Source organism: Homo sapiens, chromosome 3 (genome assembly GCF_000001405.40).
Source record: "Homo sapiens chromosome 3, GRCh38.p14 Primary Assembly".
Taxonomy (NCBI): Eukaryota; Metazoa; Chordata; class Mammalia; order Primates; family Hominidae; genus Homo; species Homo sapiens.
The window spans coordinates 31,353,005-31,378,713 of NC_000003.12; the positions used below are offsets into that span (position 1 = coordinate 31,353,005).

General features: G+C 39.0%; 2 annotated features.

Annotated features, from left to right (window-relative positions):
* Positions 3,708–4,907: an enhancer, noted in NCBI's record as "MED14-independent group 3 enhancer chr3:31398204-31399403 (GRCh37/hg19 assembly coordinates)". NCBI's record gives its function as "activates an origin of replication core promoter dependent on BRD2, BRD4, P300/CBP and CDK7 cofactors, and independent of MED14, by STARR-seq in HCT116 cells {active_cell/tissue: HCT116}" and the evidence as "EXISTENCE:reporter gene assay evidence [ECO:0000049][PMID:35650434]".
* Positions 23,825–25,024: an enhancer, noted in NCBI's record as "CDK7 strongly-dependent group 2 enhancer chr3:31418321-31419520 (GRCh37/hg19 assembly coordinates)". NCBI's record gives its function as "activates an origin of replication core promoter dependent on BRD2, BRD4, P300/CBP, MED14 and CDK7 cofactors, with strong dependence on CDK7, by STARR-seq in HCT116 cells {active_cell/tissue: HCT116}" and the evidence as "EXISTENCE:reporter gene assay evidence [ECO:0000049][PMID:35650434]".

A 25,709-nucleotide genomic window follows, 5' to 3' on the forward strand; every position in this document is an offset into this window, starting at 1 on the left:
GTTCCCCCAACAGCCACCGCTTTAGGGAAGCATGTATTCCCTGGCTCACTGTAGTCTGCACATACACACCTTTACTGATTTAGGCCACCTGGTGCCCACAGACATTTGTGTTGGTTCCCTTATTCTGAAGCAAGCCATTTGTGGAAACTGGGGCCTACAAAGGGGAGCTAATTTGTACACAAAGAGTTGGTCTGTGGCAAAGCTAAGACCAGAGTGCAGACCCCTTAAGGTCAGTCCAATCCAGAAGCTTCTTCCACCACTCAAAGCCATAGTCAAGCCTATCATGGGCTCCCACTTCCTCTAAGAGGAATAGACGCTTTTGCTTAAAGACATCTCACCACAGGCATTCAGTTCTTGCCTAGGATTCCCTGCCTGCATCTGCTGGCCTTAGTCACACCCCAAGGTGCAGATATTTTCAATCCCTCTCATCCATCATAATGTACTTCTCCTTGGATCATTCTTTTACTCATTCATTCAGTCACTCATTTAAAACTTGTATATGCCAGTCAGGATGAGGAAGTGACAAAATTCAGAATTACCTTCCTGCAATAAACAACTAGAAAACTGGAAAAGAATATAGGACACAAGTATTTTCAGATATTAGACGAAAGTCAGTTCAGAACTGTAATCTCTGGGAGAAGGGAAACAAATGAGGAATAGTCTATCTTTCTGCCCAGAGGCAATTTCCAAATTGCAGTACAAGGGTAGAGAACTGAAGCAGAGCCTGGTAGTCTTGCTGAGTTGATAAGGCAGATATCAGAATTTGAGGAGGTAAAAAAAAAATACTAGAATTTTCAGTGAAGAGCACCCAAAGAGAAAGCTACACAGAGAAGGCATTCCAGAAAAAAATAGAGTATTATTTTGAGTTTGACTGGGTACTACCTCAGGCTTACATAGTGTAAAACCTCATGAGGCCATACAGAGAAACTTTTGAGGAAAGAGCACTAACTGAGGAGCAAGAAGATGAGTAACCCTTAGATTCACACAATACCAGGACTCATTAGGGTTCCTACAATTCATTGTGAAGAGACCTCACTGAATATACAAGGATTCAGTAGGAAACCCAGAGGACTATCATGCCTTAGTAATGAGGTTAATTGAACCCTAGAGCAGTGGTTCTCAACTGGATGGAGGTTTGACAATGTTTGCCCATATTTTTGGCTGTCACAGCTGGAGAGTTACTACTAGCAGCTAATGTGCAGAAGCCAGAGATGCTGTTAAACAATCTACAATGGACACACAGACCCTCAAAACAAAGAATTACCTGGTCAAACTGTAAATACTGTTGAAGTTGACAAAATTCTACCTAGAGTAAACTCAGAATCACCCTAAAGGAGATTTGAAAGAATACTCCAAAGGTTCAAACTAATCTGCAAGAAACTTAACCACTTGCCAGAATAACATCTGACATTCTTTAAAGAGTACAAAAAGTCCAGTATTCAACAAAATAAAATGTACAATGTTTGTCATTCAATAAAAAAATTATAAGACATATGAAGAAGTAGGAAAATGTGATTCATAACCAGGAAAAAATCTGCCTGGTTTTTTTCTGCCAGGAAGTAAAAGATATGATGAAGTTACAAAGGCATTAAAACAGCTATAAACATACTCCATGTTCAGGCACTGTGCTAAGCCCTGATACTACAGTACTGAGCTCAACAAACATGGCCTCATGCAGCTTACATACAGTAGAAGACACAAGTATTTAATAAATAAATAAGTAAATAGATATATAATTAAAAATCATGATACATATTGTTAGGAAAAACAACAATAACAAAAAGGTGCTAGAGGAGATAGTAATAAAGGGAAAATTATTTTATATACATATTCAGGGATAGAGATTATATTAAGCCAAGACCTAAAGAGCTAACTAGCTCAAGAGCTATAAGAACAGCCTTTCTGGCAGTAAGAATAGCATGTAGAAAGTCCCTGAGATAGGGGAAAGCTTAAACAATTAAAAGAAGAGGCCACAAAAAATGAAACAATATTCTATGTTCATGAATTTAAATAATCAATATTATTAAAATGTCCATACTATCCAAAGCAAGATACAGATTCAACGCAAAATCCCTATCAAAACACCAATGACATTCTTCAAATAGAAAAAAAATCCTAAAATTTACATAGAATCACAAAAGATCCAGAAAAACCAAAGCCATCCTGAGCAAAAAAAAAAAAAAAAAAAAAAAGCAAAACTGGAGGAATCACATTAGCTGACTTCAAATTATATTACAGAGATATAGTCACCAAAACAGCAAGCTACTGGCATAAAAACAGAGATAAAGACAAATGGAACAGAATCGAGAGCCCAGAAATAAATCTATACATCTACAGTCAACTTGTTTTCAACAAAGGAGCCAAGAGCATACACTGGGGAAAGGACAATCCTTTCAATAAATTGTGCTGGGAAGACTGGATATTCCTATGCAGAAAAATGAAAGTATGTCTCTTGCCATATATAAAAATCAAATCAAAATGGATTAAAGACTTAAATCTAAGACCTGAAACTGTGAGACTACTAGAAGAAAACATTGGAGAAACACTCTAGTATATTAGTCTGGGTCAAGAGGTCTTGAATAAGACTTCAAAAGCACAGGCAACAAGAGCTAAAATGGACAAATGAGATCACATCAAGCTAAAAAGCTTCTGCACAACAAAGAGAATAATCAACAAAGTGAAGGGACAATCCACAGAATGGGATAAAATATTTGCAAACTACCCATCTGACAAGGACTAATAACCAGAATATATAGGGAGCTTAAACAACTCAATAGGGGAAAATAAAAATCATAATAATAATCCAATTAAAATGGGCAAAAGATCTGAATAGACGTTTCTCAAAATAAACAAATGGCCAACAGGTATATAAAAAATTCTCAACATTACTAATCATCAGGGAAATGAAAATCAAAACTACTGTGAGATAAGGTGTCATTCCACTTAAAATGGCTTTTATCCAAGTCAGCCAATGACCAATGCTGGCAAGGATGTGAAAAAAGAGGAACCCCTGTACGCTGTTGGCGGGAATGTAAATTAGTACCGCCACTACAGAGAACAGTATGAAGATTCCTCAAAAATCTAAAAATACAACTATCGTACAGTCCAGCAATCCCACTCCTGGGTATTTATCTGAAAGAAAGAAAATCAGTATTTCAAAGAGATATCTTCCCATGTTTATTGCAGCATTATTCAAAATTGCCAAGATATGGAATCAACCTAAGTGTCCATCAATGGACAAATGAATAAAGAAAATGTGGCACATATATGCAATGGAATACTATTCAGCCATAAAAAAGAATGAAATCCTGTCATTTGCAACATGGATGAAACTAGAAATCATAATGTTAAGGGAAATAAGCCTGACACAGAAAGACAAATATGCCTGCTTTTTACATTTTTTTCATTCATATGTAGGAACCAAAACCAAAAATATTGAATTCATAGACACAGAAAATAGAATGATGGTTACCAGATGCTGGGAAGGGCAGCAGAAAGTGGAGGATAAAGTGGGGATGGTTAATAGGTACAAAAATATAGTTAGATAAAATTAACAAGATCTTGTATTCAGTAACACAACAGGGTGACTATAGTTAATAATATATTGTATATTTTAAATTTACTAAAAAAGTGGAATTAGAATGTTCTTAACACATATAAATGATAAATGGGTAATAATACCCTAATTATCCTGATTAATCATGACACATTGTATGCCTGGAGCAACATCACACATACCCCAAAAATATATACAATCACTGTGTACCCAAAATAATTACAACAATTACACATTTTTAAAAGGAGTTCAGTGCTGGGGGAGTGTCAGGTTCTAGGCCAAACTGAGGTCCAAGAGGAGTCGGTGGGCAGGTAAAGGGTAACTAGAAAAACACTCAAGAAATCACAGGCAGTTTTGACATGGCTTTATTCTCTCTCTGGGCGTGAGCCCAGCCACGAGCCTGGGTGAGACATAGGTACAGCATTACTCGGGTAGTTATACCTTTTACAGACAATAGTGGCTCCGTCCAAGCCAAGCACAAGCTCACGTGAGTGATCACCTAATGCGCCTCACGGGGCATGGTTATGTAATGTGTGGGGTTGTAAGCCTGTGCTCCAAACCTGCTGAGTCATGCTGTGCTGGAAGGCCGCCTCGGCCTACTCCAGGCTAAAGTGCTGCCATCTCCTTTACAGGGAGTATAATGAGCAAGTGGGGAGAAAGCATAAAATGGTGATGAAGACACAAGAGGGTGATGAAGGCTGGTAACCCCTGGAATATAATTTGGATTTTCTTCTAGTACAATAAGAAACCACTGGAGCAGTGGCTGTCTTCCTTGGCTGCACTGGAATCACCTGGAACTTTTGAAAAATATGCTTGTGTCTCAAGCATAGAAATTCTGAAATGATATGGCATATGGCTAGAGCATTAGGAATTTTTTTTTTACTCCCCAGGAGAGAATTTTTACGGGCAGCTAAGGTTGAGAACCACTGTAAGGGAAGATTTTAAACAGGGAGTGACATCATTTGATTTTGAAAGTTCTGTTACACTAACCCTATACTCATTATAAACTTGGCTATAATGTTCCCTTCCTTCTAGGAAACAAGGCTCACCTGAAGCTCTTTTACCATAAACAACATCAGCATGGGTCATAATGAATTCTACTACTGAGAACAGTGACACCCACAGTATTCAGAGAAATATGCCAGTATTTTCCTTCAAGTTCAAAACACCTGTTGTGGCCTAAATTGAGTCAATCTGTAATAGTCAATTCCAAGTGCTTTGTATTCAGCTCATCCAGAGACACAGGCAGAATGAGCTTGGCATCCAATTTTCTGTACTCTCGTGTAGCTCATGTACTCGTACCTCTTTGGGGCTGAAGAAGAAATCTAGCCCCATAAACTCACTCTTTGTTCTTCCCATAGATCCCTGTCTCTTAAACCCTTTTCTCCATCACCATCTCACCTGTATCCCACCTCCTCTTTTTCTCTGTCTTCAGCTTATGTTGTCAGTCATTCATTTCTATCACCTGAGGACTCAGAGAAAATTTTTGATCCACTCAAGTGATCTAAAGGGGAGGGCAGTGGATGAAGGATAGCAGCCATCAGTGATTGATTCATTGATTCAAGATCAGTGGTTCTCAAAATGAGAACTATTACAAATGTCTTAGAAAAAAGCCATATATGCGCAAATGTGCACCTTATGGCATATATTTGTAATTAAGATTTTACTTCAGGCCAGACGTGGTGGCTCATGCCTGTAATCCCAGCACTTTGGGAGGCAGAGGAGAGTGGATCACTTGAGATTAGGAGTTTGAGACCAGCCTGGCCAACATGGCAAAACACCCACTCTACTAAAAATACAAAAATTAGCTGGGCATGGTGGCACACACCTGTAGTCCCAGCTACTTGGGAGGCTGAGGCAGGAGAATCGCTTGAGCCCAGTGGGGGCAGAGGTTGCAGTGAGCTGAGATCACGCCACTGCACTCCAGCCTGGGCAGCAGAGTGAGGCTCTGTCTCAAAAAAAAAAAGAAAAGATTTTATTTCATTCAGAACCACTGGTCTTGAATCATCCTGCTCAAGGGCAGGAGCATCAGCATCACCTGAGAAATGAGAAATGCAAAATCTTGACCACCAACTCAGACCTACTGAATACTCAGAAAGTCTGGACATAAAGCATAGCAATCTGATTTCACAAGTTGTCCAGTGGTTTTGGTGTACACAAACAGTGGTTTGGAAACTATTCTTTAAGACAATCAATGTTTGTGCATTATTATGCTATGAGAAACTTTCTCTCTTTTCATCCTTGAGTTACACTGTGAAAGGCCCCTTTCTCTTATCTTATCTGGTATATGCCTAACTCCAAATGGGTGTGACTATGTAGCATGACTGAGATAACAGATAAATGGGGAGGAAATAAAACCAACAGCATCTTGCTATACCCCACATGATAAAAGTCAAAAAGACATCATAGCAAAAGGCTCTTATTACAAAACAAAGTTATCGTGGAAAAAAGATACTGCATTGTTAACATCTGTCCAATCTGAAGTACCTTTTCTGTAAATAAATATCAAGAAAAAGCATTCACTAGCTGAATACTAGTGCTACTATTACAAATCTCTTAGAAAAACATCATATATGCCCAAATGTAGACCTTGTGGCATATATTTGTAATTAACTTTTTACTTCATCTTGTTATTGCAAAAGTTGTTAGGAAAAAAAATGTGGACATATGTGTATATGTATTTCCCAGAGAGGATGATTTTATCCTGTTGTTTTTAAGATGCCTCAACTCCAACAAGTTGGTTTTGAGGAAGGTACCAATATAACAACAAGGCCAATAATTCCTAATTGCTTCTTCCCATTCCAAGGTCAAGAAGGTTTACACAAACAGATAAGGATTGATGTTTAAACAGATTCGGCTTGGTAAAAGGCCATAGAGTCCATGGGGCCACGCTCCTTCATGAGTTTTATTCATCATGAAAGCCATATGGTTTTCACTATAGATGGCCCAAATCCTCACCTCCCCAGGTCAAGCGAAGTGAAGACAAGAATATAATCCTAGCAAAGTCATCGTTGGCATTTTGGTCTATTTGCTTCTCACCAACTTGGGATCATACCATGTGCTTGTGTGTGTGTGTGCACATATACGTGTGCATGTATGTTATGATTAAGATCATAACCTATATAATGTTATATATCTGCTGATCCTAAGATAGCTATATATATATAAAGGTATACATATACATATATAAGCATATATGTATTATATATGTTATATAAAAGTGTATATATACACATATATAAGTATATATACTTTTATATAATATATATAAGTTTATATATATTTACCATAAGTTATATATATACTCTCTATATAGTATATGTTTATACTATTTTTTCCTCCAACAAAGAGTAAGAGTATATTATGTTCTCAGAGAAAATCTGGCCTGAAAACAATAAATTTAACACTGAAACATATATAAGTATATACATATATATATTGTATAAAAGTATATATATACTTATATATAAGTATATATACACATATATAAGTGTATATATACTTTATATATATAATTATATATATTTATACTTTATATATATATATAAAGTATATAAATATATATACTTTAAATATATATATATACTTATTTATTCTCTAACAATTTATCCTAAACATCCTGAAATGCACAGGATGGCCCCCACAGCAGAGAATTATCTGTGACAAAATGTCAACAGCGTTGAGGTTGGGAAACTGCACTGGAGGCATCCCCTTTAAAATCAGAACCCAAACAGGATTCACTCTCTTAGAACGAACCTCATTCTCTTGGGAGTTCTAATCAATGTAATAAGGGCAAAATATAAATAAGATATTGACTTAGTGGCACGAAGAAGACAAAATTGTCATTTCACAACACATCATTATGCGTTTAAAAATAAAAGAGTCAACTGAAAACAAATAGCATGAGTAGAGAATATTACCTTGCCATTTCTGTTTCCCAATAAAGAACTACCTACCAGCCAGGTAAACTTGACTACATATCATTCACATGTATTTATATATTTATTGATTGAAATATTTATTGAGTACCTACTAGTTCCCTGGTATATTTCTTAGCACTAGAGACACAACAGTGCATCAGAAACAATATCTCTTAGCTGCTGCAGCTTGTATGTTTTTATGAGTAGACAAAAAGTCAGATAAATAAGTAAGTATGCAGTGTATTAGTTAGTGATAAGTGCTATGGAAAAAAATTAAGCAGGGCACAGAGGAAAGAGAATTCTTAGAGGGGCAGAACAACAAGCTCTTGTTTGTCCTATAAAGATTTTGTATTTATCCTATTTGACTTTTGCTCTGGGGGAGTTCAGAGGGCCATTAGAAGATTTTGAGCAGAGCAGTGACATGTTCTAATACATGTTTTCAAAAGACACTGTATGTCTAATGAGTAGGAAATAGACTTTCAGAGGTGAAAAATGGAAACAGGTAACAGATAAACCAGAGACAAGGCCAGGTAGGGATCTATAGGTTATTATAAGGATGTTAGATTTTACTCTGAGAGAGATGAAATGCCCCCAGAGAGTTTTGAGAAAAAGGTGTAATACAATCAGACTCAAATTTTTAAAGGAGCACTCTGGCTGTGGTGTGGAAAACATACTGTTTAGGAATGAAAGGCAAATGCAGAAACAACAAAGGAAGACAGTCTTTTAATGCTAGCAGGAAAATTCTAGCTCCTTCCCCTATCCATTTTTGTCCAGCTGATTCTTACATGCTATAGATAGATGAGTAAGGAAATAACATTGCTTTTCATTCTCTTGGCAAGCAAATATTAATAAAAAGGCTTTCAAAAAAATTAAGTTGGTAAATTTCCTGTTTGTTTCATCTTGGCTTCAGCGGGCCACCCAGTAGTTTCTTTTGCACGAGAGAGGATTAAGTTACTTGACCCTGTGACTTTAGGGAAGAGTTAAATCTCACAGCCAGAGTCGCTGTCAGATTCTAGTCTTCCCTAAACATTCTTGGGAATTATTTTTTAGCCTTGCTGACTGGAGCAATCTATATGTGAGGCTTTTTAAGGAAGTAAAACCTTGGAAGTGCTCCCAGCCCCTATCATTGGTTTCTTTTTCATGAATCCTTTTCAACAGCATCAGGCTCTGTTCATTAATGTCTGATCCTTATAGGTCACACAGAAGAAAGGAATTATATTCTCCTCTAGACAGACACCCTCATGTGATTCAAAAGTTTGAGGTTTTTGAGATAAGGAGAGAAGACAAACCACAAAAGGCTTCATCAATTCTGATTCAGAGAAGACAGTGACCCCTGACTACGCTGAGCATCACATTCCTTAACAATTCCTTTCAGGGACATAAAAAAAGAATTCCTTTGGTTTATCAGCTGACTTTGAAAAAATGAAGACTAAGTCTATTATTTTACTACATTACAAATTTTGACTTAGTGGTTATGATTTAATGAGGGCTGTAGTTGGTTAGGACTGTTTGAAGTTTTATGGACAGACAAGTGGTTGTCACAACTTAGGAACAAGGCACAATGAGAATATCCACAAAAGCACAGAGCGGATGTGGGAAAAATCTGACTCTTGAATTACACATGAGGGCAAGGCAGGTACTGAGGGAAGTGGCCTGAGTTCAGGACAAGCCCCAGACTTGGATGGAGATGGTGAGTACAAATGGGGAGTTGGGAGGCAATAGGCTCCAAGGTAGACGTCCAGCCTTATATACTAGTCAACATGGAAAGTGGATGGAAAATCTAGCTCTTAAGAGAACATATGTCATTCAATTCTCATCCCTGGGAGTCTCAGACTGTAACTTGGGCTGTCACCAATGCATCTATGAGGCAGCTGTGACCTTATGGGACACTAGACTGCATGGTTCTTGAAAGAAGAATGTTTCTGATATGCTGTAGTTTCTCAGTGACTTTCCATTGAATCAAAGATTGTTTACATGAGTACCTCATTGGATAAATCTAGGCAGATGACTTAATTTTAAGCAACCAGATGGAAGAGCAGAAGCTATTGGCATATTTCCTTAGTTGGTTTGTCTCTAAACCTATATACAGGAATCATCGCTGTACCTGATTTTAACTTACTGGGAAAGGCCAAAGGAATTGATGTGATTCAGGGTCTGTTCTTATTGCCTTATTTAATAAGTTTCCATCAAACAAAAACAATCTTTCAGTGGATTCAGGGGCTTCTTTCACTTTTATTCAAGTGTGGTATGATTTTCTCTTAATGCTTTTAGAGTCACTAATGGAGATGTACAGAAGCAGAGAAAATTATAAAAACACTGGGAAGATGCTGAACTAACAGGGCCAGGGAGTGGGGGGTGGATACTAGAATGAAAATAGAATGGAGAAGAGCCACAGAGTCTGCTTTGGGGGCTAGCTCTTCACTCCATGACAAAATAAATCTAGTTTGCTTTCCACCAATCACTTCTGCCTCCTCCTCCTCCTTCTTAACCCACACTAGTGAACAAGGGCAAGAGGGAAGTCAACCGGTCAAAGATGGCTCTAATTAGAGGGTAATTTTAAAAGACGTGACGACAGTCATTTGATAGTTCCTGCTCTTTGTTTTCTCTAACAAGCCCTGTAACTTCCCACCTAATTTTCTTTGCCAATGTGATCACCCCTCCCTGACAAGCCCTTCTTACCCCTTTTTCTTTGGAAGACTTGGCTGTTTCTTAAAGTCTGCCTCCAACATACCCTCTACCACCATGGGGCCTCTCAGGAGCAGTTGGTCCTTCCCTTGGACCACAGTTGGACCTTTCCTTAAGGTCTGATCTTAAAAATCTTAGTCTATACTAGCTACGAGCAATCCAACTAATCTTTCGAAGACTCAGCTTCATTATTTGTGAAATAGGGATGCCATCTGCATTGCTTCTCTCAGAATACTACTAAGATGAGTGATATGTGTGGAAACTGTGCAAACTATATGGTGCTTTGAAATTAAGATGAGAACTGTTATAGGTACCCTTGTGTCCTATAATCATGGCCAGATAAGGACTTTTAAATGTCCTAAAATCTCTGAAAAGATTATGATGCTCCCCTAATGTAAAAAGACAAAACTATAAAAATAAAAATAATAGTTAAGCATAAGTTATAAGCATGAATAATGTTGGAGGATGACTATTTCAATGCTTTATCATTTTGAAAACTCAAGTTCTGCTTTTTCTTTGCTTTTCCAGCTTGTTTTGAATCTTGGTTTTACTAGTTTCCTATGCGTAATAATTTTCTAGTGCTGCATTTTATCTCATTTACTAGGTTGGAGATTCCTTGAAGCCTCTGTCTCAGCTTGTACATAGCCAGTGCTCAATAAATATTTGCTAAATTAAATTCTTCCTCTTGACCCTTCACAGAAATGTGTCTTCTATGCAATCAGGAAGCTCCACAAATAATTAAAAAACATAGCTGACTCTGAGCAGTCATACCTTAATCACTCAACAGGAAAATATTAAAAGAGAAATAGACATATAATACAGAACTTGAAACAATGGAAAATATTTTTAAATGGAAGAAGCAGCCCATACCCCCAAAAACTACATGGGGAGAGGGGGATTTGAAAATGAGAGTCATGGGAAGGAGTAATTGAAACATAACTGGGAGAGGGAAGTGGTGAATAAAGAAACTAAGCAAATTCCTGAAAATATTAAATTATAAGAAATCATTGTTGGAATTAAAGTTGAAATGAATCTTAGTTGATATTTTAGCTAACCCACCCATTCGCCCAAATGTAAGCTCTTATCCACATGCAACAAAAGCTCATAGAGTAAGCACACCATGTATTGCAATCTCCATGATGGCACCTCACTTGGTTTTCAAGGGCATCCATGCTTTCTGTCTATGCTAACTAATCCTTATTCCTAGAGATGGCTATGACTCAGCACTTTTTTGAGACTATATTATACCCTAGAAATCCATGGCATTTTGCTTTTTGTGGGGATATACATAAACATTCTTAGTGCCCTAATTTCTCCCTCATTTCTCTCTCTTACTTTCTTTTAATTTCCTTCTGCCTCTAGTCCTCCATCATCAGCATTTTTTCACCTCAACATGGTCCTTTTTACCATTCTTTCTCCATGCTCTTCATGCTTTTAGCTAAATGCATTCTCCTGGAGGGGGTTACGTACTCAAGAGACTCATAGTCATCTCTTATGAACTTTCCAGAGTTACTGTAACCAGGATAAATGCATATGGTTTAAAAAATGAAATGAAAATCAACTTTTAACCAATGCATTACATTAGGAAAAAAAAAAACAAACCTCTATTGCACTTATTTTAACTTGACATTTGCATATTCTTTTTTATTTTGTATTTGGGTCAGAAATTAGTGAGTATATAGTTATGGAATGGTCTTTGTCATCAGAGAAAATTTCACCACTTCCTTTCTATGGGCCTTGGGGGAGCCATTTCACCTTCTCAGGCTTTAGGTTCCACTTCTGTGAATGGGAATAAAACAGAGATAACAAACAAAAAGCACTTAGCCTGGTGCCTTGCCATTTCCAACTTCCCTCCTCCCCTGTTTTCCTTCACTTCTAAAAGAACCTACATGTCCTTGAATTCTTGTCTCTAGATCTGTTTCTGGAGTATAGAGAGGCAGACATTGTCAAGACACCTTGAAGCAGAGCTTTGCTCAGACAGCAGTCATTTGCATGTTCTTTCTTAGTTTTTTCAGCGTAGGGCAAGTAGATATTGAGGAGTTGGCTCCAGGTCAAAATCCTATGTGTGATTTTTTAAGCCAAATTGCCCATAGGCAATTACAAAGTTTTCATCTCATAGGCCTCATGGGGGAAAGCTGCCCTCTCCAGACTTTGGGCACAGTGGGAGAGATTTATAGCCAAGAACTCAGAGGCCTGGCCATGCAAAAAATCAACATTCTTAGCCCAGGCATCTCCATTCTGAGGCCTCCTTATCAGAGGATACCTCCACTGATGCCTTTCTCAGGCACCTCTGCTAAGACCACATTATCTGGTGAGCCTCAAAGACATTTGACTCAATATTCCATATTTTTCCCACTCATAGCCCTTCCTTCGTTCCTTCTTCACCTAGCCTTCACATCCACAAAACTGAAGGAGCTTTTTGTTCACAGCTCCCCATGACAGTGAGATGATCCCCACATCTGTGCCAACCCACCTGACCCTCCCACCTACACTACTCAAAAATGGAACAAGGTGTGGGGGTGGGTTCTGGAGCCCTTTCATGTTCAGGTCCTGTTTACAGTTTTGCAGTAAGTGGCTAAAGGCTTTACAGGTGCTTTGGTTTTGGCTTGTTGTTTTAATGGACCACCTCAACACCTGTCAGCTCAGTTCTTTCTAGCTCAATGCTTAATGAAGATCATTGACCTGGGAAAAGATCACAGTAGAACTTTCTCTGGCCTAACAAATGCAGGCCTCTTTTTTGTTTTTGTTTTTGTTTTTTTGTTTTTTTTTTTTTTTTTTGAGACGGAGTCTCGCCCTGTCCCCAGTCTGGAGTGCAGTGGCGGGATCTCGGCTCACTGCAAGCTCCGCCTCCCGGGTTCACGCCATTCTCCTGCCTCAGCCTCCCAAGTAGCTGGGACTACAGGCGCCCGCCACCACACCCGGCTAATTTTTTATATTTTTAGTAGAGACGGGGTTTCACCGTGTTAGTAAGGATGGTCTCGATTTCCTGACCTCGTGATCCACCTGCCTCGGCCTCCCAAAGTGCTGGGATTACAGGCATGAGCCACCGTGCCCAGGCAGGCCTCTTTTTATTCATAGCTGGTCACCCCAACCAATTTGCATGAACTCTTGATCTTCTGGAGAGAAAGAAAAACAGATCCCAACCACTGCTCCTGTGAATTTAAAGTTAAAGAAGCCTGTCAGGATAGGTCAGAGTGGTTTTGACCAAGATCTGCAAGTATAAATTGCCACCAGTACCCCAAAGGGCAACCTGACAGGAGTGGAGGGACAGTTGGGGAGTCTGAGACTCTGAGCCAGTGATCCAAGCTCAAACAACAGTCAAAGAGTCTTGAGAGGAGGCTGAATCTGGAATAGCATATAGCTAACATTGCAAGTTCCTCAGGACCAAGCCAGAGGGCAGAGGGTCATGCTTTGAAGACTAATCACTGAGCATGCAAGAACTGGGAAGCTATAACCTGGGAGCCCAGGCAGGTGTTAGCACTGCCAATGGGGAAAGTTTCAACGAACATGGGCACCATCACAGCAGCAGGCACACATGCATCAGATTATGCAAGGTTAGTGTTCAACAACTGAAATAAAGGCTGCTACAACTTTCCAGCTCTGTGTAGGTGTATTCGCAAGCATACACACACACGAATGTGTGTATATGGGTCTTCTGCTTGTTTTCATGACCAAACCCGGAGTGACAGAGCAAGCCTGCTGATTCTAAAGGCAGTGCCCTCTCCATTCTGTATGCTGCTTTCCAGGAAAAGCAACGTCTACTACTGAGTTTCAGGACATAGCTAGTCTGGTAACTATAGAGGGCAAAGAGGGCAAAGAGTCCAGTCATTTTTTTTCTTTTATTATGTTCTTTATTTAGCTTTATCCTTAGAACAAACATAGTAATTCTTCCTCATATAGATTCCACAGAAAGCAAGAAGAATATAATAAAAGTCATTGATATCTCACTATGCACAGATAACCACTGTTACCGTTTTTGTGAAATTATTTTCAGTATTTTCCCTTTTTTCATAAAATTCAGGGGACAATATATCCATAAAATTGTAACCTGCTGTATCAGAGTCCCAGAAAGAACACCCAGTATTCTTAAAAGAGAAATTAAGAATAGCTTAATAAAGGGCTATTTGTTTAGGCATGGGCAAGGCTACCACAGAGGACAGTGCAGGGCCCCAGACCAGTGACAGCAAAACGGCATATCCCTGGGCCTGAAGGGGTAGGTTGGGGTGAGATTACCAGAACCCCAAGGCAGAGAGGGCTGACTGGAAAGAGGCTTCTGAGAGAAGCTGAGATTTACAATCCAGAAATGGAGCCATCCTGTGACAACCACACAAGAAGGCAACTGGAATAAAGTCCCCAACTCACCTTTCTCTCTCCCTCCAAACTCCTGCCATGCTCCAAAGTGATAAACCTAACCAGAACCTAGAGGGCAAGGGAGCCAATGATATAGACCAGGGGCTGGCAAACCTTTTCTGTAAATGGCCAGATTACAAATAGTTTAAGCTTATAGGCCATATGGTCTCTGTCACAAATACTAAAATCTGCAGATGTAGCATGAAAACAGCCATAGATGATACTTAAATGGATGTAACTGGATTTGACACCATGGATCAGATCTGACCCGCAGACCGAAGTTTGTCAACCTCTGGTATAGACCATATGGGTCAGCCTCTCAGCCTCACACAGAGGAAGGTAGAAAACATGGAGAATAGATCCAGAAAGCTTAATGAAAGATACCCAGCAATGTGTTTTATTGGTCTAACATAAACATTTACTGTGTTGAAATTCTTATTAACCTTGTGATAAAGTATCTTTATTGGAAAGAGAGGCAAACAGTTCAGCAAATATTACAGAACTAGTAGCTGTAGTGTCATATATATATGTGTGTGTGTGTATATATATGTGTGTGTATATATACACACACACACATATACACACACACACAGATAAATTACGAACTTACCGATCCCACTCTTTGTATTTTGCTTATTTATACCACATAATGTTACAAAAAGGTTTTAAGGAGGCTTAAATATACACTATGAGTTGAAATTAAATATGAAATAAATGAACTTTTAGGAATTTACCCTGTAGATATAATCATTTGTGTGTATAGAACTTAACATATTCAAAAAGAATTCAAATTAAATTAAAAATAAATGGATGAACTTAAAGTAATTTACCCTGTGGATATAAGCATGTATGTGCACAAAGACATATACATAAAAGATATCCATTTTGTCACTGCTCTTAATGGTGAAAAAAATGGAAAACTATCCAATTCAACTGGGAAATGATTAAATAAATTAAAGCATATCCACTGAGTGGATACTTTTCAACCATTATAAAGAACTCTACGAGAACTTGTGTGGAATGACCTCCAAGGTGTTGTACTACAAAGATATGTATGTATGTGTGTATGTGTCTGTTTGTATATATAGACAGTTATGTTTATATACACATATATAACTATGTATTTGTGTGTATGTATTTTTCTTTTCTTTAAGGCATTGTTTATGGATAGATAGACAAAAAATTAAAAATACTGGTTACCCCTAGAAAGGGGAACTGAGTGATGAGGGGGTAGAGTAGCAGAGAAACCCATTTTCATCTGCCAATGCTTTTGCACATTTTAAATTTTGCATCATACACCTGTGTTACCTTTTTAAAATAATTCATTGATTTAAATTTCTTAAATGGTTAAGAAAAGATCATGCATTGGTACAGATGTGCAGTCTGTACAGCAGTACATACTCTCGGGTTTGTATTAACTCTCCTGCTCATTATCTAGCCTGAGGGAACTTGATCATCCAGACATTCTAGAGTGCCACGTTGGTCCCTATATTGATGATGTCTTGCCTGAAATTGGAAAATAAAAAGTACTTTCTACTCTGGAATAATCTAAGTAAGACACAGGCATGTCAGGGGATGAAAGATAAATCCCACTGAGCCGGGTATCTCTTAAGTGATGTTCTCAGGGATGCATGGGTCTGGGACATGGTGGCATAGTCCCTTTAAAGTGAAAGACAAATTTCTATACTTCGTGCAACCCACCACTAAGGAGCCACAATAATTGTTGGGACTTTTTAAATTTTAGAGGCAAAATACAGCATGTTACCTTTATAAAATAACACATAAGGATGCCATTATTTATTGGGGCCCAGAGCAAGAGAAAGCTATATGATAAGTACAGGATGCAATACAAAGTGTTTTGCCATTTGGGCCACATGGTCCAGCAGTTACAATGGTACTCAGGGTGCCGTAGCAAATAGAAACACAATGAGACTTCTGGTAAACTCCAATAGGAGAATTCAAGGACACACTCACAGAATTTAAAATGCTTTCTTGCCTTCTTCAGTCAATAATTATTCTGATTTTGAGACATAGCTTTTGGCTCACTAATATACCCTAATAGAGACTGAGCATCCAACCAAGGGGTATCAAGTGACCTTGGTGTCTGACCTACCCAACATTAACTTCTCATCATTATCTGACCCACCAACTGTAAAGTTGGATGTACACAGCAGCAATCCACGTGGTTTATCCAAGATCAGGCTCAACCAGATTTTGAAGCCACAAGTAAGTTGCATGGGCTTAGACTCCCATGGTAACCACTCTTGCTGCATTGTTGTTTATGCTCAATCCATACCAACAGCCCCATGGAAGTTTCCTGTGACTATTTGACTAAGGAAGATAAAACTTAGGTCTGGTTTACAGATGGTCTATACAGTATTCTAGCCTGAGCCAGAAGGAAATATTGCTGACTCACTCTGAAGTGTGAAAAATATTGAAGAATCCATTCCTGGGCAAAACTTTAATAGCACATTTGATATCCACTTTGCCAGACAGAAATATGGTAAAAGAAATGGATCCACCTCGATTCTTGAGCAATGGCTAATGATTTAGCCACATGGTTCAGGAACTGGAAAAACAACTCTGTAAGAGGAATGTCAGTGGGAATGGTGGAATAAGGACCTCTGAAAATCTGTTTCTCCATAAAAGCAATGAGAACACTAGCAAATTGTAAAAATCAACTTTTTCAGAACTCTGGAAATTAACCAAAGGCTCATAACAATCCAAGGAGTGTTTATTCAAGAAAAAGAGCTGACTCAGTAAGAACAGCAAGCTATGTGATATTTTAACTTGCCCTATTCCCATTCCCCTCTCCTAGCTACCCAGAAGGCTTGAAAATAAACAGTTTGTAATCACAGCAAAAACTAGAAGCCTAGCAGCCACTGGAGGAAGCAGACAGGCACTCTCCAAAATCACCAATTCAGAGAATTGTCATTATTTGACCTCTCTGGCAGTTTCTTGGAAACTCTCACTAGCAGGTCTTTATATGACCTGACTGGAGCTCACTTAGTGTGAACAACCTTTTCCTTGAGGACATTTAGCAAAAACAATCAGCAGCAATTGTTTCCTATCACAGCTGCCTGAGGTGGCAATAATAGGCAATCAACAAACTGACCAAGAAACTTAAAAGGAAAAGCAAAGTCCATAAGGAGCTTTGAAAAGCGCTGACAACATCCTGGAAATTTAGAAGCCCATTCATAAGTTCAGGGCTGTCCACATGCCCAGGACTGCACACACAGCCAGAAAAAAACCTTGAGAACACTCCAAACTCTCATCTCTGGCTTATCTTGAAGTTCTGCTGAAGTCTGAAGTAAAGGCTACTGCTTGAGCATTGAAAGCATGTCCTGATATGCACACAGAGTTCCTCTGCAAAGGCTGGGAAATTTATTGGTTCAAAGCATTGAAGGAAGTCTCTATGCAATCATTAGCTAATCTCTAAGCTCATTGAGCAAAGACTTCAGCAGCCACACACAATAAAGAATGTAGACTTTACCAAATTAGTTCAGGAAAGTCACTAAACAAACAAATCGCTTCCATATCTCAGTTTTATGCTCGTGGAAAACCTGTTTTTCTTCTGCTTTTGAAAGTTCCAGACCTTTAACATTTCCTTCAGTTCCATGTATTTTCTGCATTGTCTTAGTCCATTTTCTGTTGCTTGCAACATAATGCCTGAAACTAAGTAATTTATAAAGAAAAAATTCTTATGATTCTGGAAGCTGGAAAGTTCAACATCAAGGGGCTGAATCTGGTGAGGGCCTTCTTGCTGGTGGGGACTTACTGCAGTGTCCCAAGGCAGTGTAGGGTATCCCATGACAAGGTGGCTGAGTGTGCTAACTGAGGTCTCCCTTCCTCTTCTTATAAAGCCACCAGTTCCACTCCCATGACAGCCCATTCATCTATTAACCAATTAATTCATTAGTCCATGAATGGATTAATCCATTCATGAAGGCAGAACCCTCATGACCCAATTACTTCTTAAAGGCCCTGCCTTTACTGCTACATTGGGGATTAAGATTCAATATGAGTTACGGAGGGGATAAACATTCCAACCGTAGCAGGGGTGATAGGCCTCCACTATTCTGTGTCCTTCTTTTCCCATCTGAATCTTAGCTGAGATTTCAGCAGTCTGGCCTGTTTCTTAATTGACCTTATCATTCCCTATTGAGAATAGTATGAACACTGCTTGCTGGAATGGTGCTTTCCTTCTGTTTGCTTTCACATTGCTTTTCTGGCCCAGACATTTGTCTTTCTAACTTATTCCTCTAGATTTTTTTTCTTTTGGGTTTCTCCAGAGTGTCTGATGCCAAGTCAAGGAATGAACAGTTTTCAAAGCATGCCATTTTCAAACAAAGCTTGTTTATCTTCACCTGCTTGAGTTGTATAATACCACTCAGGAGGCATCATCTCATCAGATCAATATCCAACTCAGGACTGACCTCAATTTATTTTTATCTTGCCTGGCTCTCTAGTAGTACATCTTATTTGCCCTGTGAGTTCCCCTGGGGGGGATCATAATTCCATAAATTTTCCTGGCAGGTTTCGTCAGGCACAGGCAATTCCTGCTTCCCCATCTATGATAACTGTACAATTTTCCAATTTGCGACTCAGTGCCTTCAGTATTTTATCCTGGCTTCTCAGGCTTCCTCATTCACATTTGTCCAAATATTGTGCGTAGCTGTCTCAGTCCTCAAGGGGTGCTTACCCATGTGTTCTTATTAGGGAATATCTATCTGCAGTTTTATAGAGATATTCCTCAATAGTTTCCTAATTTCAGGAACCCTCTAGAGAATCACACTCATCTCCTCCCTGAGATCAATTATCTTTTCTGATCTTAGAGCAGTTGTATAGCAATCCCTTCATCAGACAGGAGCAGCTAGATAGATGTGCTTCTCCTGTCCAGTTTCAGATATGTCGAATTTGGCCTCCAAGAACTTCTTCTCTTTCATATTTGTCTAGACTATATGCTAAGACTTTAATCATTTTCCTAAAGAAACGTCTCCCTTCTCCCCGTTAATCAGATGTCTTCCTTTATTTTTATTTCATTCTTCCACTTGCTCCTATTTTAATAGTAAGATCAACACATAATTTAAATAAATTCAGTTCCTCCTAATTCCCTGAGCAAACCTGATTATTAAACACAAAGTGTTATGAAGACAGACCTTTATATTGTCTTCTTTTATTCTGATGGGCAGTAATTATTTATTTTCTTCATCCCAAGAAAATGTCCCACCCCTATTTAACAAAAGCTCCCAATTCAAGTTTATGATGTTTGGTAAAACCCATGACCCTTCTCTGTGGGACTGTAAGGCTTAGGTCTCTAAAATCTGTATTGAGATCTAACCTCATGTAATTAACAAAAAGCCTCTCAAAAGACAGCACCATATAAATTCCTGTCTCTGACCATACCCCTGAGAGTAGAGAGGAAACAGAAAAAGATAGCTCAAGCCAACTCAGAACCTCACTGCATATCTTCAACTACATGTCAGACTTTCAGGGAAAAAAAGAGCTTAGTGCCAGTTCTGTCAGTACTATAGAACCTTGGAATTGGGTCTGGGCCAGGTCACTGCCCTAGAGCCACCATGCCTTGGCAGTATCACGTACACTTACCTCTGATCTGCTCTTGATGAAGCACTGGTCAAAACCAGCACTGTTGGGCCAGGTTTCGCTTCTGGAAACTTGGCTCTAGCAAGTCTCCTCTCTGTAGTCCCATTTGCAGCAGTGTCATCCACCTATCCCTGCACGGACTCCAGGCCAAGCTCTTTGCCACCCCGATTCCGCTACTTTGGGTTCCATTTCTGTCATGAGACGGTGTGGTACAGTGATAGTGGTATCACTACTAACATCAAACTGTTATTATATATATGTTATTACTACATGTTTTTTATAAAATAGTTATACATTTTTTAAAATCAGTTCTTTTTAAAATCAGTTCTTTTACAATAAAATTTACTTATTATATAACATTGTGGGGTTTTATTTACAATAAAATGAAAGCTCCATAAGGATAGAAAGTATGTCTTTCTGTACCACTGTATCCCCTGCATCTAGAACAGTGCCTGGCCCATCATAGATGCTCATTAAATATTTGTTGAATTAATAAGTGGTTAAGAGCAGAGATTGGTGTCAGAATATTTGCACTCAAATCTGGGTGCCACCACTTTCTAGTTGTGTGACCTTAGATGACTTAGTTAACCTTTATGAGCTTCAGTTTGCTCTTCCGTAAAATGGGGATGATAGTAATAAGCACAAGCTGTGATGTGAGAGTTAAGAGAGTTCACCCATATGAAGAGCTTGGCACGTAGTGAGGGCTGAGTTAGTTTTAACCATTATTCTTCTGACTGCATACTAGATAGCTCCTCTTATATGCCCCACAGGGGCACTTCAGAATCCAATTATATTCACTAGCTAACCATTCATCCATTCTTTGAAGCTACAAAGTAAGAATTATCTTCAATTACCGGCTATTCTTCATCCACAATCACATTAGACACACAGACATATTGTGCCAATATGTCTCCATCAACTGCTTTCTCTCAGCCCAACTGGCCAAGTCCACCCTCTGTGTTCTCACTTATATGGGAAAGTCATGCCTTTCTCAGAGTCTTTGTCACATTGAATGGATTCTGACTTATTGGTATACTTTCCTCCCTAGAGGGCAAGCTCCCCAATGCCTCCTAGCTTGTCTTGTTCTGCCTAAAGGAAACTATCACACCCTTAGTAGTCAATAAGTAACTCCTCAGAAAATAATGCTAAAAAATAAAGGTTCTGTAGCAGATACTGCAGAAGAACTAGACAGATTTTCATTTCCAATCTCACTATCCCATGCCTATCTCCATTCTGTTGAAGCTATAAAAACCAAAAGCTGGTTTTCTCAGCCTCTCCTGCAGCCAGGAGTAGCCATATACCATAGTTATGTTGCATGAAGCAGAAGTGGAAGCCTGTTGGTGCCAACACTTCCCTTTCTTACTTCTTTCTGCCTGCAACATGGAGGAGGCCTGGGGTAATGCAGCATTAGGTGAGCATGAATGGGATGACACCAACATTCTAAGGATGCCAGAGAAATCTCGAGGAGCCTGTGTCCCTCATAGCATTTGTTCAATCTGGAACTGCATGGGGAAAATAAATCATTATTTGTTTAAGCCAGTATTAATTAGGTTGCCTATTATTGCAGCCAAACACATTCCTAACTCCAACAGGAACACTTGTAGAATGAAGCTCCAATCAACAACATGGCACAGAAAATTTCCTGCATACTGGAAAAAAAAAAATGAGTCTTGTTTGAGCTATAAATAATCATTGTACTCTTACCTATTGCGATAGACCCTGTATGAGATCCACTGGACACTCTTTAACAGCTGGTGTGCCCCTCTCCCAGGTGCTGCAAATGGTGCCATTAGCGGCTTACCTGAGTAAACTTTGCCAGAGAATTGTACTTGACTAAAGAGAATAGCTGGCCATGAGATGCCTAGAAGTTTACGTGACCAAGGGAGGAGGCAGATAGTGGCAAATAACTAATAAGTGATATAAGAATAAATAAATTAAAAAGCCCAGCAGGGCACAATGGCTCATGCTTGGAATCCTAGCACTTTGGGAGGCTGAGGTGGGAGGATTATTTGAGTTTAGAAGTTCAAGACCAGCTTAAGCAACATAGCAAGATCTTGTTTCTACTAAAAATCAAAAAAAAATTAGCCAGGCATGGTGGTAGGCATCTGTAGTACCAACTACTCAAGAGGCTAAGCTGGGAGGCTAGCTTGAGGTGAGCAGATCAAGGCTGCAGTGAGCTATGATTACACCACTGCACTCCAACCTGGGCAACAAGCAAGACTGTCTCAAAAAAAAAAAATTAAGAGTCCAACCGCTTCTCCATGGCACCATGCATGCTCCAGAGCCCGCATGGATAAAAGCCAACCTGGACTACTGTAGCCTTGCTTGATTCTTTGCCTTCCAGTCCTGCTTTCCTCACTCCCAAACAGGTAGTTCCTGAAGAGTATTCCCTCAAAGAGGGAAGGAGAAAAGAAGAGAAATTTGAGAAAGCAGTTTATAGACATCACCATGGCTGTTCACTCAGGAAGATAAATTAGGGGAAGGAGATATTCAAATGCAGGAACCTGAAAGGAAATATCCATGCTGTAGAAAATCACATGTACCCAAATCTCTGCCTCAGGTTCTGCTTCTAGAGACCCCAAACAAGATACTTACCTACAAATTGCCCATTTTAAGAATATTTTCTTCTGAAGGGAAGAATAGGGATACCAATGCCAACACCGCAATCTGGAATCTCAAGCTGTTCACTGCGTTAAGATTGCTCTCAGTCCCACTGGAGATGCCTTTGTCTTCCTGCATGTTGTTGCTGTATATCAGTTGGATGTTTCTAAGAGGCCACATGGTCTAGAAGCATTAGTAGAAAACTTGGAGGCTGACATTGATGGATTTCCAACACCATCGAAGTTTATCAGGGATCTCAGAACAGAGCTAAGGGATTTTGAGAGTAGGTTTCATTCTGTGAGCAAACATGATAGGAAAAGAGATATTTGCCTGATGTATGGGAAAAGGTATCTCTTTTGGTCCCCAGATTTCACCTGTGTGAAGTACCAAAAGATATGGAAAATTTCAGAGGACTCCAGGAAGTGTAAATGTGGAGAAAATTCAGTGTAAGTCTTTAGATATTAAAGTATTAAAAGAGGTCCACATTCTATTATGAATAAATGGCCCATCAAGAGCAAGCAATTGTAAGAAAAATAAAGCCTTGGTAAATGGTGTGTAACAAATAGTCCACTTCTTCAATTGCACATGACAAGGGCCATTTTATAAAAATCAAACATAGATGTGGGTAGTATAAATATTAATTTTCAAAATGTCAGAAAATGACTAACAGAAAACAGAAAAATAGGGAAGTAAGGTTGTAGAGGAAAGAATGTGAATGAAGGAAATTTTTTTAACTTTTATTTTAAGTTCAGGGGTACATGTGCAGGTTTGTTATATAGGTAAACTTGTGTAAAAATAAACAAGATAGAAAACAATACCTATATTTTAGCTAATCAGAATAGGAATTACAGAAAGCAGGTTGTAGATGTCACCATGACCATCCATTCAGGACGATAAATTAGGGGAAGGAGATATTCAAGTGCAGGAACCTGAAAGGAAATGTTCCTGTCCTAGAAAGCAGAGACTCATCACAAAGTGAAGCAGGGGAGAAGCTCGTAGACATGATTCTTTTCAGTGTCCTGAAAGTAGTAAGAAGAGAAATACACCTCGTCTTTGAAGTCAACAAAGCTGAACTCTGTGTACTGCAATTTTTCTGTGTACCTGCAATTTGTGAAACCAAAATAATTATATTTTCAAAATAATTTTAACTCTGACATTTCTCATCCTGTAGCTAATCAGTATAATATTGTGGTTAAAAACACAAATCCTGGATTAGACTGCCTGAGACAAATTCAAGTTCTGCTACTAATTTGTTGTTTGAAGTAAAGTCATTTAAACTCTTCTAATTCAGTTTCATCATCTATAAATGAGAATATTATTAATACCCGTCTCATGAGGCATATTGGCAGGTTGAAATGAATTAATACACATCAAGTATTTAGAACGGTATCTGCCTCATGGGAAGTGCTCAGTTACATATTAGGCATTAGTATCACATGTGACATAACTCCACCAGGTAGTAGAGTACACAACAGGATCAAAGAACTAAGCTTTGGTTCTAGGGCTGGCAGTTAAGAAACGCAAGACCTTGTTCTCTCAAGTGGTGGCAGGGAAGGTAAACAGGTTTCTGTGAGCAGCCTTTGAAGTTTGCCATGGATTGACTCATGAGGTATTAATTTTTTTGAGCCGTGACTCATGGTTAGCTCAGTTGGTTCACTGTACTTATATAGCCTGGGCTCTGGTCTGATCTTCTTATGAGTTTTCTCCCCCACCACTTCTCTGGGGTCACAGACTGTATCCAATTCCTGATAAGCTACTGTGCACATAGCTATACTTAGTCTAAGGAAATTGAGTCAATAACCATCACTACTTGAAGAAAAATTCAGAAAGCCATCAGTCTCCAGTTATTTACCCGGCAAATGAAACTCACATTTACTTAGGCCCCTGTTAAGTAACAGGCACATAGCAAGAATCAGACATGGCATTTCATGAATACAAGCATATTTAATCATCATATCAACCCTATCATGCCATGAGCCCCATTTTACATTTTAATGTCCTTCCTAACTGTAAACATAAACACATGGTCACATTAGTAAAACTGACACAGTGACACTTCTGCTTCATTCTTTTAGTTAAAACCCAGATTCAAAGGAAGAAGACTACACAAGCACATGAATACTTACTCCACTTATTTAGGGGGTGAGATACATTGGAGTAACAGACCCTGTCTCTGCGGGGCTTAGTTCAAATTCCCCAGACAATCAAGTTCATCCCAGTCCATCCAACCAGTTGTAGCCAGAGAGGAAGAGTCATATAAGACGAACATGGCCTCAAAAGCCATTCTTTCATTTAGAGCTATGTGGTGGAGAGAACAATTCTTAGAAACAAAGAACGTTAAGTCCTGCAGTTTTGTTCTTAAGATTGCCTTCGATATGGTATTAGTTTTCTACTGATCCTGTAACCATGTACCACAAACTTAACAGCTTAAAACAACACAAATTTATTGTCTCACAGTTCTGTTAATCAGAGGTCTAGATGGGCTCAACTAGTTCCTCTGCTTTGGGTCTCACGAGGCCAAAACTATAATATCAGACAGTCTGGGTATTTATTTGTAGTCCCTTAGGGATAATCTCCTTTCAAGTTCATTCAGGTTTTTGAATGAATTCAGTTCTTTGCAGCTGTAAGACTGAGTTCTCCACTTACTTACTGGCTGTTATCTGGGAGCCTCTAACAGCTATAAGCCCACCTGCAGTCCTTGTCATGCTGCCCTCTCTATCTTCAAACCACCAGCAATGGTTTGAAGATGAGTCCTTCACATACTTCAAACTTCTCTGGCTTCCTTGCTGCATCTCTTCTGTATTCAGTCTAAGAAAGTGCTCTGCTTTTTAGGGCTCACATGATTAGATTGGGACTATTCAGGTAATTCAGGATAATCTTCATATTTTAAACTCCATAACCTTAATTACACCTGCAAAGTCCTTTTGCTATGGATCATAACTATTCACAGGTTCCATAAATTAAGATGTGACCATTTTGGAGGGATCATTTCT